This window comes from Homo sapiens, chromosome 14 (assembly GCF_000001405.40).
Source record: "Homo sapiens chromosome 14, GRCh38.p14 Primary Assembly".
NCBI classification, from domain to species: Eukaryota; Metazoa; Chordata; class Mammalia; order Primates; family Hominidae; genus Homo; species Homo sapiens.
In genome coordinates, this window is record NC_000014.9 from 72,539,535 (window position 1) to 72,554,069 (window position 14,535).

Genomic DNA, 14,535 nt, shown 5'->3' on the forward strand with positions numbered 1-14,535 from the left:
AGTAGATAACTTCGCTTCCCCGGCAGCCCCTTCCTGACGTCCCTCCCACACCCTGCTGGCTCTCAGAGCCAGTCTGTTCTGTGTCAGGACTTGGGGGGCCCCCAGGGCCCCAGGGCCACAACCACCAGGGCTCCTGCCTGTGGGCACGGCAGGTTGAAAGCAGCAAGCAAGCTGCTCAAACCCACCGACTGTGGTCCTGCAGCAAAGTCATGATGGTTCTGATCCAAGCCCCGCAAGCACCATTCATGGCCCCCGGAGAAGCAAAGCCCCCCTCTCTGCTCCCTGCTCCAAGGAGGCGGCACCATTTCTCGTGGGCTTCTGTCTTCTGTCTCTCCCATTGACTCTTCCAACAGCTCTGGCTGCTTCTCTTTTCCCATTTTTCGCCCCATTTTGCTTTGGTTTTTGTTATTCTTTAGCTGCAGCTGCTGCTGTTTGGGAACCACGTATAAGCTGAAGATTTTTTTTTTCTGTATTTTTCTCCCTACCCTTTTTTTTTTTTCCTAAAGCCAGAAAGTGAGCAAGGTCGTAGAACTTCCCTAGAAAAGTTCACTCGCAGTGTGGTAAGTTCAGTCGGTTTTCTTCCCTCAGCTTTTCTTTTGGTTTTGGTTTTTTCTTTCTTCTTCTTTTTTTTTTTTTTCCCTTTGGTTGTTGTTTCCTTTGGGGTGGGAGGGAGTCCAGTGCTTTCTCCCTCGACTCAGCCCTTTTCTTTTGCGAGTGTCTGCAGCTTCTCTTCTAGGGATGAAAATGCAAAAAAGAGCAAGCGGCTCCCTCTGCAGAAGGTGCACCCTTGATCGCCCAGCCTCAGGCCTGGGCATTTGATCATCTGTTCAGGGCTTTGAGGAGGAGGGACCCTGCTGCCCTCGGGGCTGTGCGGTTTGTGCATCTTCTGCAGCAGCTCAGGGAGAAGCCATCGAACTATACCGTGAAATAAATTGGCTCAGAACCATAGCTCATCGAAAAAAAAAAAAAAAGCCAAAATTTCCCTCTGTGAACCCTGGCAGTCACGCCGGTGTGGGTCGCGAGCTAATGTTGCTGTGTAGGCGGCTTTTGCTGTGTGCAGAAAGCGGCCGTGCTGCATGGGTCCTGGCGATGTGGCCTAGCTGGCGTGTGTGTTAGTCGCCTCTGCATGAGTCCCTTCCAGCCCCCATCAGCCTCATGTGCACAGTGTGATAGGGAGAGGAGGGAAGTAGCTGAATCCCTGCGGTGTCCTGGGTACTCCCCGGGGGCAAGGTCCTACCGGCCTCCTCAGGCCTTGATTCTAACAGGCTGGGTAAAGATGGGCTTCAGATTCCTACAGGTTCATGGTACGCCCCAGCTAGAGAGGTAGAGCTCCCCACAGTGGCACATAAAGACAGCCGTGGCAACAGGTGGGAGTGGGGAGTCCGTGGCTGTTCCCTGGGGTGCATGGCTGAGACTCTCTACCATGGTTTGTAGAACAACACAGGCCAATCTCCTCTTTCCATGCTGGTCGGCCCAAGATTTGAACATTGAGCTCAGTGCACAAGAAATACTCAATCCCGCTCAATCACGGGGCCCATCCTGTACCATGAACATCAAACCAGAGGGAACCAGGGAGCAGGGTCCCATGCAGGGAGCTGGCCACATTCCCTTCCCAAAGGGTGGCAGCCCATTGATATTGACTTGCCTTTGTTCCACCTCTGTTGAGGAGGAAAATCCTTGTAAAACCTGACTACTGTGTGACTGGTATACGTATTTCATCCTTTTAAGAAAAAGTCTAAGGCTCCTGGGTTGAAAGCAGCCTAGTCATTTACGTGTCGTAGCTAGATGCATTTTAAGTGCATTTAAACATTATCTTGAATTTGCTACATGTAAACCTCAAATAACTCTAGTGGGTGGCAATTAATTAAACATCGGTATCCATCCCTTCCCTTCCTCGGTCTTCCCTCTCTGTGGCCTTTCCTCATGAGAAATCAGAATGTGCAGAACACAAGGCCTGCGGGTGCCTGGTCTATCTTCATGGCTGCTTTGCCAATGGCCGTGTGGCTCCGCACACCAAGAAGCTGCCACGGGCTGTCAGAGTCAAGGCTTCTGGGACTTCCTTCACTCCATGATGGCCTGAGAGAAGGTAGTGGGATCCCATCTCTCTCTGTTTGTCTCTTTTGAGGACTGGCTACTGTGCGGGTGGAGGATGGTTAGGGATTTTGCTGACAAGCCAAGGGTGCCTGTGTAAGCAGAGCCTTGACAGCCCCCGGAAGCTCTTGAGGGTGACCGTGCAGGCCACGGGTGTGAGAGGGGAAGCCTGGTACTTGGACAAAACGTCCAGACATTTTCAGGCTGTTTTTCAAGAGAAGTGAGTATCAAGAAAGGCAAGAATGGTCTCGCGAAGCTCTGTGAGGAGCATTTATTGATTTCCTTTCATCCCAGAAGTGGTGTTGGCTTGGGGGTTCTCCCAAGGTCTGTTAGCAAAGCATTTGGAACAAGAAAGCACCAAGACACCCCTAAGTGTCTGAAGTGCACACATGGGAGAGCTTCCAGAGGGAGTTTCAGAGTGAGCTGAAGGAGAAAAGTATCCTAAGCTCCTGAGGGTGTGGATAAAAGGCCCAAACTATTAAAAAAAACTAAATTCCTAAATTCCCTGCTATTTTATGAACAAGAAACTCTAACAGGTGATGCATTCAGAATTTGGGGTTCCAGTGGTGGAGATGGATTGCCATCCATCCATGCTCCTCCTGCTCTTGGGGTGACACCATAGCCCCACAAGATGTGGCTAAGTTTGGGGAATAATATGACCCATGTGTTGGCTCTCAGATTACTTAAGATTGGAACCCAGGAATCTGGTCTCAACAGCCCAGTGGTCTCATCAAACAGAACTAACTAACTGATCAACCAATATGCCTTGCAATTTGATAGCCATTCTCTGACTATCATATGCCTAAAGTATTTGATTTCTCTAAGAGAAGATCTACGTGAATGTTTTATCTGCTATATACTGCAAGCTATAAAACTAAATGAAGGGCCAGTTCAATAGCATTCCTGTGTTGCTGGGAAAGATGTGTAAGAACATGACCCATGTCATGGGGCTAATAATGGAAACAGGGGAGTGAAGCTGGGCAGCTCACGGACCAAAGACGTGAGGCCAATTACCATTTAGGATTAATTGATGGCAAAAAGAAATAATGTTGATCCAGGTGATTGGATAACTCATTCAGCTGGAGGCTTGTCAAGACTGAATCTGAATTCAGAATTTCTCCCCAGAACATGCCAATGTCCTTTCTTTTCTTGGTAGAAGAGAAACACTTGGAAAAAACAAATTGTTCTTTCCAAGTCTTATGTTGTGCCATGACATAGAGGGATTATCTGTTAAGACCACATATGCCCCCTTTTCCATGAGATCCTAAGGAGACATTTAATATGGTTCATGGAAGCTTTTAGGGCCATGTTAGTTTGGGTGACGAAGGGGCCTGGTACTCCCCAGTCAATAGAGGAAGTGCTGTATGAGCTTCTCTTTCCAATGCAAGCTTCATTCCAGGTTACTCAGGACTTGGATATACAAAGCAAATGTCTGGGGACACTGGGCCAAGCATCCTGTCATTTTGCAGACTGAAACCACAAACCCTGCTTATTTGATAAGGCCCAGGTTCTGAACTAAACATGACTGAAGTCCACGACAGGGCGCAACTAGCCTACCATGTACGTTCATCCAAAATGGAAAACAAGACTCCCTCTGGTGGGCCCAGCCTCACAGATGCCCAGCTGACCAGGCAAAACACAGGCTGGGTTTCAGCCCCTATTGATCCTCAGCTGCCCTGGTGCAGTGAATAACCCACGCCACTGTACATGGCCACCCTTGTCCGAGGAGCCTGTTTCAGAAAGAGCTGTAACACACAGCAGCTTCTCCAGGGCCCCCAATACATGGCCTCAGGTCATGTGATTTGGAGCCTGTCTCTGCCTAATCCTGCTCATGGGGAAGCTTCCTTTCACAGTGGCTGTAACATATGAAAACCACAGTAGGAGAAATCTGGCTAGTCACTGTGGGTTGCCTTTGCTTCACCTTCCAGCTGTTCTTCAGATTCTTTGGTGGGAAGTCTCAGGCATTACTGACCAGGGAGAGGAGGTGCCTTCTCTCACTGAAGACTCTTTCCTGTTGCTTGGTGATGTCTAGCCTGCCACTCTCTGCTATCTTCCTGGTTTTGCAGTTGACAGAGGACAATAGGAGCATGAAGGTGGCCAGAGCTGAAATGCTCACCCTCCCACTGCTTCTTGAGACAGAGTCTCACTCTCCGAGCCTGGAGTGCAGTGGCACAATCTTGGCTCACTGCAACCTCTGCCTCCTAGGTTCAAGCGATTCTCCTGCCTCAGCCTCCCGAGTAGCTGGGATTACAGGCACACGCCACCACACCCGGCTAATTTTTGTACTTTTAGTAGAGATGGGGTTTCACCATATTGGCCAGGCTGTTCTCAAACTCCTGACCTCAAGTGATCCACCTGCCTCCCAAAGTGCTGGGATTACAGGCATGAGCCACCACACCCCGCCCTCTGCTCTCTCTTAAGTGTGCTTGTTGCTTCAGCTTCCACAGAGTCTACCACAGTGGGGTGGGGGGCCTCACCAAAGAGGGCCTGGCTCTGACATAGAGGACCAGGAGCATGCGTGGGAGGGAGAGGGGGCAAGAGGAATCGGGGCCAAGCCACAGCAGCAGCTCCCTTGTTGAGATAGATACTGGCTGAAGCCATCTGGTGAGAGCTCCAATCTGGGGAGGAGAAGCTGGAGAAAGTCCTTTGCTCCTCTGTCCAGTTCCACAGAAAAAGCCGCAGAGGGTGATAGCACTGAAGTTAGGAGAAAATGGCAGCCCCGAGTGAGGCTGGTGTCAGCCTCCCTGGGTACCTTTGGAGGCTCAGTTGAAACCTTACCTGCCCTCTTGAGAGCTTCATCAGCTCCAGCCTTGGGCTCCAAAGATAGATAGATAGAAAATGGGGTTGCTGGTGCCAGAGCAAGCACTGGAGGCCACGGAGGAGAAGGGAGAGGAGGACCAGGCGTTCATCCACCTCCTAAGAGAGCATCGAAGTTTAGCTTTGCCAAGGTGCTCCTTGGAATTGCGGCAGGAAGGGCCGGAAGCTGCAGAAGGCTTGGCATGTGATGGGTGGCATCTCTGCGACAGGCTTTCCTGTCCTGCCTGCCTGCCAAGGAATGCAGCAGGCAAGTCAGATGGGGAGCGGGAAGCTCTGGGAGCCAGCTGCCACTCAGCCTCCCTCGCCCCCTCCTTCCATCCCCCTGTTCCTTCCCCTGCCAAAAGCCAAGGAAGAGCTAATGAGAGCCAAGAAGTCAACAGCTCACTCATCCCCCTCCAGGCAGCTCTGCAGAGAGAAACTCCCAGCTCCAGGCCCAGGTGCTGACCGGAAGTGGAGGGCTAAGGCTCTCCGCAGGGGAGGGGGCAGGCAGGCAATCAGGGCAGTCAGCCAACCGGCAGAAGCAGCTCCTGCCCCCAGGAAGGCGGTGTTGTTTTCCCCTCCTCCTCAAGGTTTCATGGGGAACAGCCTTGCACCCTGGTGGAATGAGTTCCCAAATACCTAGACTCAGCAGAATCCCCAGAGGGCTTTGACCTCAGTTGAAATGATCTTTCTGTGCCTCTGGCAAGGGCCAATTGGCTAAAAATCTTTCCAAAGGGTTAGTTTTTATTGCAAACAGTCCTTGGACTCCTTTGGGACCACTGGGTCACAAACATTAGTGCCAGCCTCTCCCATCTCAGAGCACTGAGATCCAGCTGCAGTGAAACCCTGGCCCTGGCTGGAGCTGGAGGGAGACTTCCATCGAAGTGTTTGGGAAGGAAAGCAGGGAAACCTGCCTCTCTGGAGCAGCAAGTGCATGTCCTGGGACTCTGAGACACCTCAGCAGCCCTCCTGCAGACTGGCTCCTGCTTCCAGCCTCAGCTTGCTAGCTATGTGACCTCAAGCAAATCACTAGCCCTCTCTGAGCCCTGGTTTTCTCCTCTGAAATGACTTGGACTAGGTCGTCTCGATGGTCCCTTCCAGCTAGCGGTGTTCTGCAGGTCTGTGCTTCCCTCTGTCCTGAGATTTCTGAGTTATATAACTCATTCCTTAGAATGGGAGAGGAGCTGTCTTCTTGCCCAGTTAGTTACCTGATTCAGAAGTGCCTGCCAGCCTGTGAGGCTGGGAAATAAACTGTGGATAGACTTGAGTTGGGTGTATTTACAAAGCCTGGACATGCACTGGCAGGAGAACTGAGTGCCCCAGGCTCCCCACACCTACACCACAGGCCCTGCTCAGTTGTTCAGGGTTCACTCGTCCACGGTGAGTCGCCGGAGGGTCAGGGAGGACTCACAGAGAACAGGGTGAGTGCCCTACACCCTTCAGCTTGCCAGTTCTGCAGTCCCCACCCTTCCGGTCTGGATGCCCAGCTGTGTGTGTGTGTGTCAGGTGGGGTCAGCTGGGCAGAAAGGTGGACCCCAGGGTCGGTGTTGCCGCATCACTGCATGCACTGTGGGGTCCCAGGGGCCCTATGGGTATAGGAAGGAATGAAATGTGAGCACTTGGGAATCTCAGCACACTCTGCTGCTCACCTGCTACCAGGCTTTCTGGTTCCCCAGGGAACCCTGGGCCAGCTTGTTGCTGTCCTCTTTTAGCGATGGGAAATAAGAGTATGAGAGACAGTGTTATCCTGTTTACAATCAGTGGTGAAGTCCGTGGTTAAGACCAGGTTACAACTCCTCTATGCTTCGCTTCTTATCTTGACTCTGTGTGAAATTAGGAAAAGCATATTTACTGTTATAGTTTTGTAGCTGGAAAATGAAAATATAAAAGTCTATTTTTTATAAACTACAAAATGTAAAACAACAGACTCAGTATGGCTGGTGGGTACAGAGAAGACAAAGTGGCTCCTCACGGGGTTGACAGGAGTCTCGAGACTTTTATCAAAAAAGGCCAGAAGTTGGTTGTCATTTTTGAGACACTGGGCCCTAGACCCTGACGTTTCCGTTGGAAGGAGGAGCCCCCAGCTGTTCCCGCTGATGGTTCAACCTGTCCGCCAAAAGCAGCCAAAATGCTCTCCCCACGGAGTGCCCACTTGGAGAAAAACCCCACTGGTGACTCACCTTCTGGACATGTGGGGCAATCAGGGCCCGGTGGAGGCAGCTGCTCCTGGCTTTCCCTGGTGGGCCCTCCCTCGACCCCCGCCCAGGCCCTCTCCTGCCTTCCCCAGACCCCAATGTGCCAAGCAGTCAAGTGAAAATCAAATCCTCTGAGGCAGAAAGACACAGCTGTGTGTTTACAGCCACTGATTCAGATCCAAATCGCGTACCCTGCCAGTCTCTAGCAAGGCAGGCTGGGGGCAAAGTGTGTGTATGCCAAGCAGGGATCTATTTCGGGAGGTGACCTGCAGGCCTTCGCCATGACAGTGCCTTCCTCCCACCCACTCTCAGGAAAGGTGCTCTCACTTTACAAGCGGCTGATGGGGTTGTGGGGTCTCGGCATGCTTGTCACTTGTGCAGTCAGACCCCAGTGCCATCCTCGTGCAGCCACATGGGAACTGTGTGGGCTCCCACCTGCCTAGTAAGAAGGCAGAGAGTGAAGGGGAGTGCAGGGCCCCCCGCAGGATAAACAGCGGGAAGGCCGACCACTCAGAAGACAGGATGCCCGCCTCTGCCTAGGACAGAGCCTGCCTCAGTCCTGTCCGGGGAGCAGCAGCACCGCAGCAGAGGGGGCCAGAGAAAGAGCATCCAATGGCAGGAGTCTGGCAAGGCGACAGCACTGCCAATGTCACGGTCAAGGAGAGGAGACCCAACTCTGCCTGTGGTCCAGACTGGAAAGTTCAAAGAGAAGTCAGAGAGCTTCAAGTCTGAGGACTTCAAAGGCTAAGAAGTAAGACCCCCCCCCGACCCATGGAAGTCCCCCCAAAATGAGCTCCTGGTGGAAACAACAGGGGATGCTTCCCCCTTTTAAAATAGTGATGAGTGTCCCTGGTTTGAGTTGAGTTAGGAAAGCATGACATTTTGGAAGGAGGCCAGGATACCTGTCCATAGGTAGGAATAGCCTGTAAGATGTTGCCCTCCTGCAGTGTGGCTAAATGGGACACTGCCGGGGGTGGGACTCAGAGCAGTGGGATTTTTAGTTTTGTCATGTTTGCCCAAAGGTGGATGAGAGAAAGACCCTTGGGTGTTTGCTTAGTGGCTTCCCAATGGGTGGGAAGGTGAGACGGGGTTGGAAGCATGGAGCCACCCCAGCAGTGGCAGGGCCACAGGGCAGCGGTTCTTCCATGCCCCCTAATCATGGCCACATTGTATCAGCCTGAGCATGAGCAACAGCACCATGGCCACATACGGGAATGGGCCTCATTGGTGTAATATTTGGCAGATTCTCTCCACACCCCCCGTGGCGGTCTGGCTTACTGTTAAGAAGGGTAACCTTAAAAAATACATTTCCCACTCCAGAAAATACTCATATGTGGCCTGTTAGCAGCACAAGAAGGGTGAAAGCAATGCCCATTCCTGCCTCCCTCCCCCTGCTCACCTCCACGTCCCTGTTTGCCCCTTTGTAGGTGAAGTGAGTATATTCAGCGTCTTCATGGCAGGGGAGAGGGTGTATTAATCCGTCTATGTCCGCTGGAAAGGCAGTCTCTGAGCGGGCCACAAGGGTTCAGCCATGGCCCATCCAATAACCTTTTTGATGACTTGGATGAAGAGACAAACATTCCAACCACATTCAAAGATCCAGACCTCCAAAGTGTGGCTCATTTGGTAGATAATGGAATTATATTTGGAAAGCATTTCCCGCAGCTGGGATGATGGGTCAAAAACAGATAGCATTTTACCAGATCATATTTGTGTGTGTGTGTGTGCGCGCGTGTGTGTGTGTGTGTGTGTGTGTTTTAAATTCAGTTTCCCAACTACAGGATGGCATTTGTAGCCTTTCCTAAAAATCAAGTTTAAAAAAAAAAAATTTCTTGGGTTGTAATTGACGATAAGCTTAGTGTAAGCAAATGCAGAATGCAGCTGCTTTCCAAAGGGCAGCTTTAGGCTATATAACAAAAGTGGGAAAGGAAAAGTGTTCCATTGCTTTTTGTTGCTCTAAGCAATATTAAGTCTTGGTTCTAAGCCCCCACATTATCAGGAACTTTAACATCTAGAGACAATTGAGAGAGAAGAGCTAGAGAGAGAAAGTGACCCTGGAAGCCACGTCGGAAGAGGCTGGAGTAAAAATGTCTAGCCCCCCAGCAGACTTGATGGCCACCGTGAGCTCTTTGCATTTGTCTTCAAGAGTGGACACTTCCGGGTTGCTCCAGAGAGCAAGGCTAGAACAAATGGCTAGAAGATAGATAGGTAGATACTAAAAATATTCTAACAATAACAGAATATTCCAACAATAGACTATGTCCCCTCAAAGGGCAACGAGCTCCATGTCTAGCCGTTTAGAAGCTGAATGGCCAAGGATAGTGCAGAGTAGGTTTCTACACCAGATCCCATGATCTTTTGCAACTGGAATTCTATGCTGCCCCAAATACTTGTTAAATGGATCCGACTGCATTTCATTCTGTGGTTTATAAATAAGTCCTGGAAAAGGAGAATGAATTATAAGGAAGGAGTTTGCTGAGATTGGAGGAGAGGGATCTGAAAGACTCAGGACTAGACTCCGCCTTGAGGGAGAAAAAGCCACAAGATGACACACTCAAAGCAAGGGAAACCGTCAGGAAGTGGAATTACTGCCCTTCACATGTCATCCTTGCCTTCTTTTCTGTTTTTTGTTTTTTTTTTTGGCATTTGCTGCCGCAGCAGCTGAGCTCTGGGCAACAGGGCTCTCTCTCCCGAATGTCTGAAAGGAGGTCAGCAAGTGGAGGACACAGGCGCCCACTGGCACAGGGCATTGGCAACCATCGTGCAGTGAGCCCCAGCACAGCCAGGGTGGCCATGTGCGTGGGGCGTCCTGGCCCAAGGTTGAAGAAAACTCATCCTGTCATAGTTCCCATCCGGAAAGGGTGTTTTGTTGAAAGCAAAAAGGATCATAAAGTCATTTGCCTTTTACCCAATGCCAGTTCCAGATTCCAGGTAAATGAGCTAACATCAAAAACACCTCAGCCGGCTGGGCGTGGTGGCTCACATCTGTAATCCGAGCACTTTGGGAGGCCGAGACAGGCAGATCACCTGAGGTCAGGCGTTCAAGACCAGCCTGGTCAACGTGGTGAAACCCCGTCTCTACTAAAAATACAAAAATGAGCCAGGTGTGGTGGCACATGCCTATAATCCCAGCTACTCGGGAGGCTGAGGCAGGAGGATCACTAGAACAAGGGAGGCGGAGGTTGCAGTGAGCCAAGCTTGCACCACCTCACTCCAGCCTGGGCGACAGAGCAAAACTCCATCCCCATCCCACAAAAAACCCCCCAGAGACCTCGGACTGAGGAGAAACTATGCCCCCACCCTGGCTTCCCTCCTCTAGGGCCCTGCCAGGGGGACTTGTCCTCAGCCCAGCTCAGGGAAAGGGAAGGGTTCCCATGTCACATTCTTTCCAGCTGTCCTAAGAACCACCCCGATTGCCGATGACACTCCCTCCTCTCTTGGGCTTCACCAGGGCTGCTTTCAACTCATCGTGGGATTGTGTAATTATGGTGATTACAGCTTGTGACTTTTTTCCTCTCCATCTTTTGCTTTCAAATTCTTTGAGGCCTCTCATTAAACATGGCGATCCCGGTAAAGTCAGCAAAGTTTTAATAAGACACTTTTTACAGCTAAAGAAAGCCCAGTCAGGGTTGATTGCTACTATGTTCTCTCAGATACTCCATTAAAACTCTATCAGGTGCAGTTGGTGCCTAGGTATAAGAGGTGGGGGAGAGGGAAGGCAGGGAGGCAGAGGGCACCTGTACTTAGTGACAGGGCTGGAGAACCATTCCACACCATGCCCCTGGCTTTTTTTGTTTGCACTAAGCACCAAGTACATCTGAGCCCCCGTGCCTAACAGGAAAAGACAGACTGTCAAGCAAGGACCGAAAGCCTGGCCTTAACATCATAGCACATTACACTGGGAAATGGAGATGGAGCATCCAAGACAACACTTAACCCAACCTTGTAATCTTCTGCAGCAAAAGTGGTGGGGGAATTCTGATACGTGCTCTGTCCTGGTTAATACTAGAAGGTTCTGAGGCATCCATAATTCTAAATAATTAAAGGAGTCAATCAATCACTAGCCTTTGTGAGTCATCACAATCCGGTGGTTTTACACCTGATGGAGGTTTTACACCTGATGGAGGTTTCCTTGGTAGTGATTCAGCTTCACATCTCATTCTTGGCTAATCTTTAATCATAGCTTGCTTGCTTGCTTTTTGTTGTTGTTTTGGTTTGGTTTTTGGGGGGGTGTTTTTTTTGAGACAGAGCCTCGCTTTGTTGCCTAGGCTGGAGTGCAGTGGCGCAATCTCAGCTCACTGCAACCTCCACCTCCCAGGTTTAAGCGATTCTCCTGCCTCAGCCTCCTGAGTAGTTGGGATTACAGGCCTGCACCACCACACTCAACTAATTTTTGTACTCTTAGTAGAGACGGAGTTTCACCATGTCAGCCAGGCTGGTCTCGAACTCCTGGCCTCAAGTGATCTGCACACCTCGGCCTCCCAAAGTGCTGGAGTTACAAGTGTGAGCCACCGTGCCCAGCTCATAGCTTTCTTGAATAGTTATCATAGCTGTAGGACATCATGAGAAGGACCATCAAGGAGTGTGGCTTGTGTGTGTGAGCCCCGTGACCCACCCTTCAGCAGGTTCATCCAGGTTCCCCTCATTTCTATATTCCCTGGGGACTACACAGATGCCCGCACAGTGAAGTGCATCTTGCTCCAGCAGGACTGTGTTTCTGAGAGGTCCCTGATTGGCTGCTCGTGGCTGACCGTCCCATACCAACCAGACTGCCTTTTACCCTGCAGGTAGCCAGTTACCTCACTACCTGTGTCTCAAAAGAGCAAGGAGCTGGATTGTGACTGAGCAGCACCAACCACCTGGAGTTAAATGTCAAAAACGTGGCAGGGACATTTCCCCCAACTGCATTCCCATCCACTACTGAAGGTGGCCTGCTCGTGTGACCCCTTGAGAACAACGGTCCCTTTAGTACCCACCAGAATGCAGAGAAGTAAGCTAAGTTCGAGACAGGCAACCCCAGCTGAATCCCTTTTTCTCCACCTGATATTATGTGACCCTGGGCAAGTCACTTGCATGTCTGACAGGTACAACAAAGCCCACTGCACAGGGTAGATGTTGGCATTCAATGAGGATGTGATCACAAGAGCTGCCATTTATTGGGAGCTCACACTCACAGTGTTGGACTGTGTCATGCTGGCTTTGCCTGGGATGGACTTTGGTTCTACTTCAGCTCCATCACTTAGTTGTTTGAATTGCACAGCTTCTCTAAGCCTCAGTTTCCTCATCCATAAAAGGGAGATAAGAGTAAATAAGTAGGAATAAAATGCATAACGTCCTTAGCACACTGTGTGCAGTGCGTGTGCTTAACAGGTGTAGCTCTTAGAATCAGTTTCATCATTATGATATTATTTGCAGCTCATACTTAGGCTGCGCTTATTACCTTATTTAATTTCCAACAATATTCTGCAAGATAGGCATCATTATATACATCTTGTGGTTGAGGGTGGGTACGTGGGTATCTCCTATATGACAGTCTGCACAAGGTGCATGTATTACAGAGATCAGCTCATGGTAACTACTCAATAAATGGCAGCTATGATTGTTGGCTTATTTTTAAAGTCAACTCAGAGAGTTAGTTTTTCTGCATTTCCTGGAAATGAAGGGACTGTGGTGCCCAGCAGGCCAGCTTCTGTTCTATGGTCGATTTCCTGGGGCCCCTAAGCACTTCCCGGGAAGCTGTGGGAACTGGGGGGCTTGTCAGCCTGTAAGGTGCTGGGAGGTGGGGAGGGCCACCAGGCAAATGGTGCACGTGTTGTGGGGATCTGGCATTTGGCCGCCTACTGAGTTGAAGGACTCGAAGGTGCCTCCTGCTACCAGAGACAGATAAGGAATGGGTCTACCCAAGATAAGAAGATGAAATCCACTCCTCCAAATGTAGCCCTCCATGTGACAGAAACACTCACCTCTCAGCTGTCTGCTTGCCTGGAGCCACCCTGAGCAATGCAACCTCAACAAGTCCAGTTGCTCCGTCAGTCCAATAAACAGAGGTTTCTCTTTTTTAACCACTTATTCCAAAGCGAGGTAGTGGAGGAGTCAGAAGCACGTGGCAGGGGATGCTTTGAAATTCCTTGATAAACCGGACCCCTGGGGTGGGCACTCCTACTGCCTATAGTACCGACAGAAACAGAAGTGGAGAAGTTGTTTATTTCCAATGAGGTCAATAAATGCCTTTTTCATGGGGGAGAATTCCATTTTTATATATGTATTTTAAGGTGAATGCTTTAAGTTTGCAGTATTTGTCAGAGTGGCATCTTAGGAGCTGATAGAAAACTCTACAGCCAAACAAGCGATTGCCTGTGCACCTTGCATGAGATGCTTCTGTAAGTGCCTGTGGTCTCAACATGCACATGAACGCATGCACTGGTGTATGCACATGTGCACAGGTGTATACACAGGTGCATGTGCCGCCTGCCTGATGTTCGCCTCTGTGTTCAGTGTATGGTGTGCATATAACCATAAGCTGCAAACCTGCAAGTATCTCTGTTGCATGGATTGCATGCCCTCTGCAGCTGTGTGTGTGTCTGGGCAGGGGCTCCTCTAAAGCCACAGGTCTTCACAGTTTCAGCTGGATAAGTTATTCTTCACTTCCCTTCCTAAAAACACAATTGCCTAGTGCTGCTGGCGCAGAGTCAGAATGGCCGCTGCATTTCACCCCCGAGGTGGCTTCCTTCCAGCAGTGGGTGAGTGATCCCGGCGTTCGCACACTCTCTAATCTGTGGAATCCTTCTGCACAGAAGGTGTTCCAAAATCCAAAAGAGATGATCTGTTTGTCCATGGCATCGTCTCTGCCCACCACTCCTGTTCTCATGCCCTGGTTCCAGGGACAGTCGGCAGCACCCATTTCTTGGTGTCTCTGTTTTTTCTGCCCATTTTTTGTACCCATAGTTTTTCTCTCCTAAGAAACAAGGAGCTGAGGGGTCCAGAAATGATGCTGAGATGAGTCCCTTGTCCCAGAGGCAATGTGCAGATAACATCCTTAGATATTGACCCAGTAACTCTCTTCTCCTAGTCCCATTCCCTAGCAGAACAGGGAATACCCACTACCTTTGAAGATGCTTCTAAATCCAATAACAGCATCCTTAGGCTTCATTTCCTGGTGAAAGCTTCCATAACTCTTCCTCTGTGGGCCCTGGGCCAAATCCTGCAGGAAACGTAGCAATCTCACATTTCTACACACTACACCATCAGGGGAGAAAAAAGCTGGGAAACCGCCCATCCTCTGTCCCATGGGGACCAAAAGCATCTCAGCAGCACGTGAAAAGAGCCTGTAGGGAAATAAGGTTCTCTGTAGCTAAGAGTTCCAATGACCTAAGTTTCTGTCCAGGTATCTCCTGAAAACGCTGCTTAGTCTGTTCCCTGGTGTACTTCCTCCGGTTAGGAATCCATGTCTGAT

General features: G+C 50.3%; 1 protein-coding gene across 51 annotated transcripts in view, besides 1 other annotated feature; it reads left to right on the top strand.

The window, feature by feature from the left end:
- The window catches only part of RGS6 (regulator of G protein signaling 6), a 762,695-nt gene that overhangs the window by 672,200 nt on the left and 75,960 nt on the right, over window positions 1–14,535 (top strand). For 12 of the 51 annotated variants that reach the window (XM_024449761.2, XM_024449759.2, NM_001370280.1 and 9 more), the window contains 2 exons: window positions 507–560; window positions 1,936–2,086. The exons of 11 other annotated variants lie outside the window; for them this stretch is intronic. In XM_024449761.2, coding sequence (XP_024305529.1) covers window positions 507–560; window positions 1,936–2,086 — 205 coding nt within the window. Of the gene's footprint in view, window positions 1–506; window positions 561–736; window positions 2,229–7,622; window positions 7,834–13,755; window positions 13,823–14,535 lie in introns of those variants that run through there. 28 more of the 51 variants (NM_001370270.1, NM_001370273.1, NM_001370275.1 and 25 more) reach the window with 9 other exon arrangements.
- Window positions 5,287–6,065: an enhancer, noted in NCBI's record as "H3K27ac-H3K4me1 hESC enhancer chr14:73011529-73012307 (GRCh37/hg19 assembly coordinates)". NCBI's record gives its function as "activates a minimal SCP1, AML or CMV promoter by ChIP-STARR-seq in primed H9 embryonic stem cells {active_cell/tissue: H9 hESC(primed)}" and the evidence as "EXISTENCE:reporter gene assay evidence [ECO:0000049][PMID:30033119]".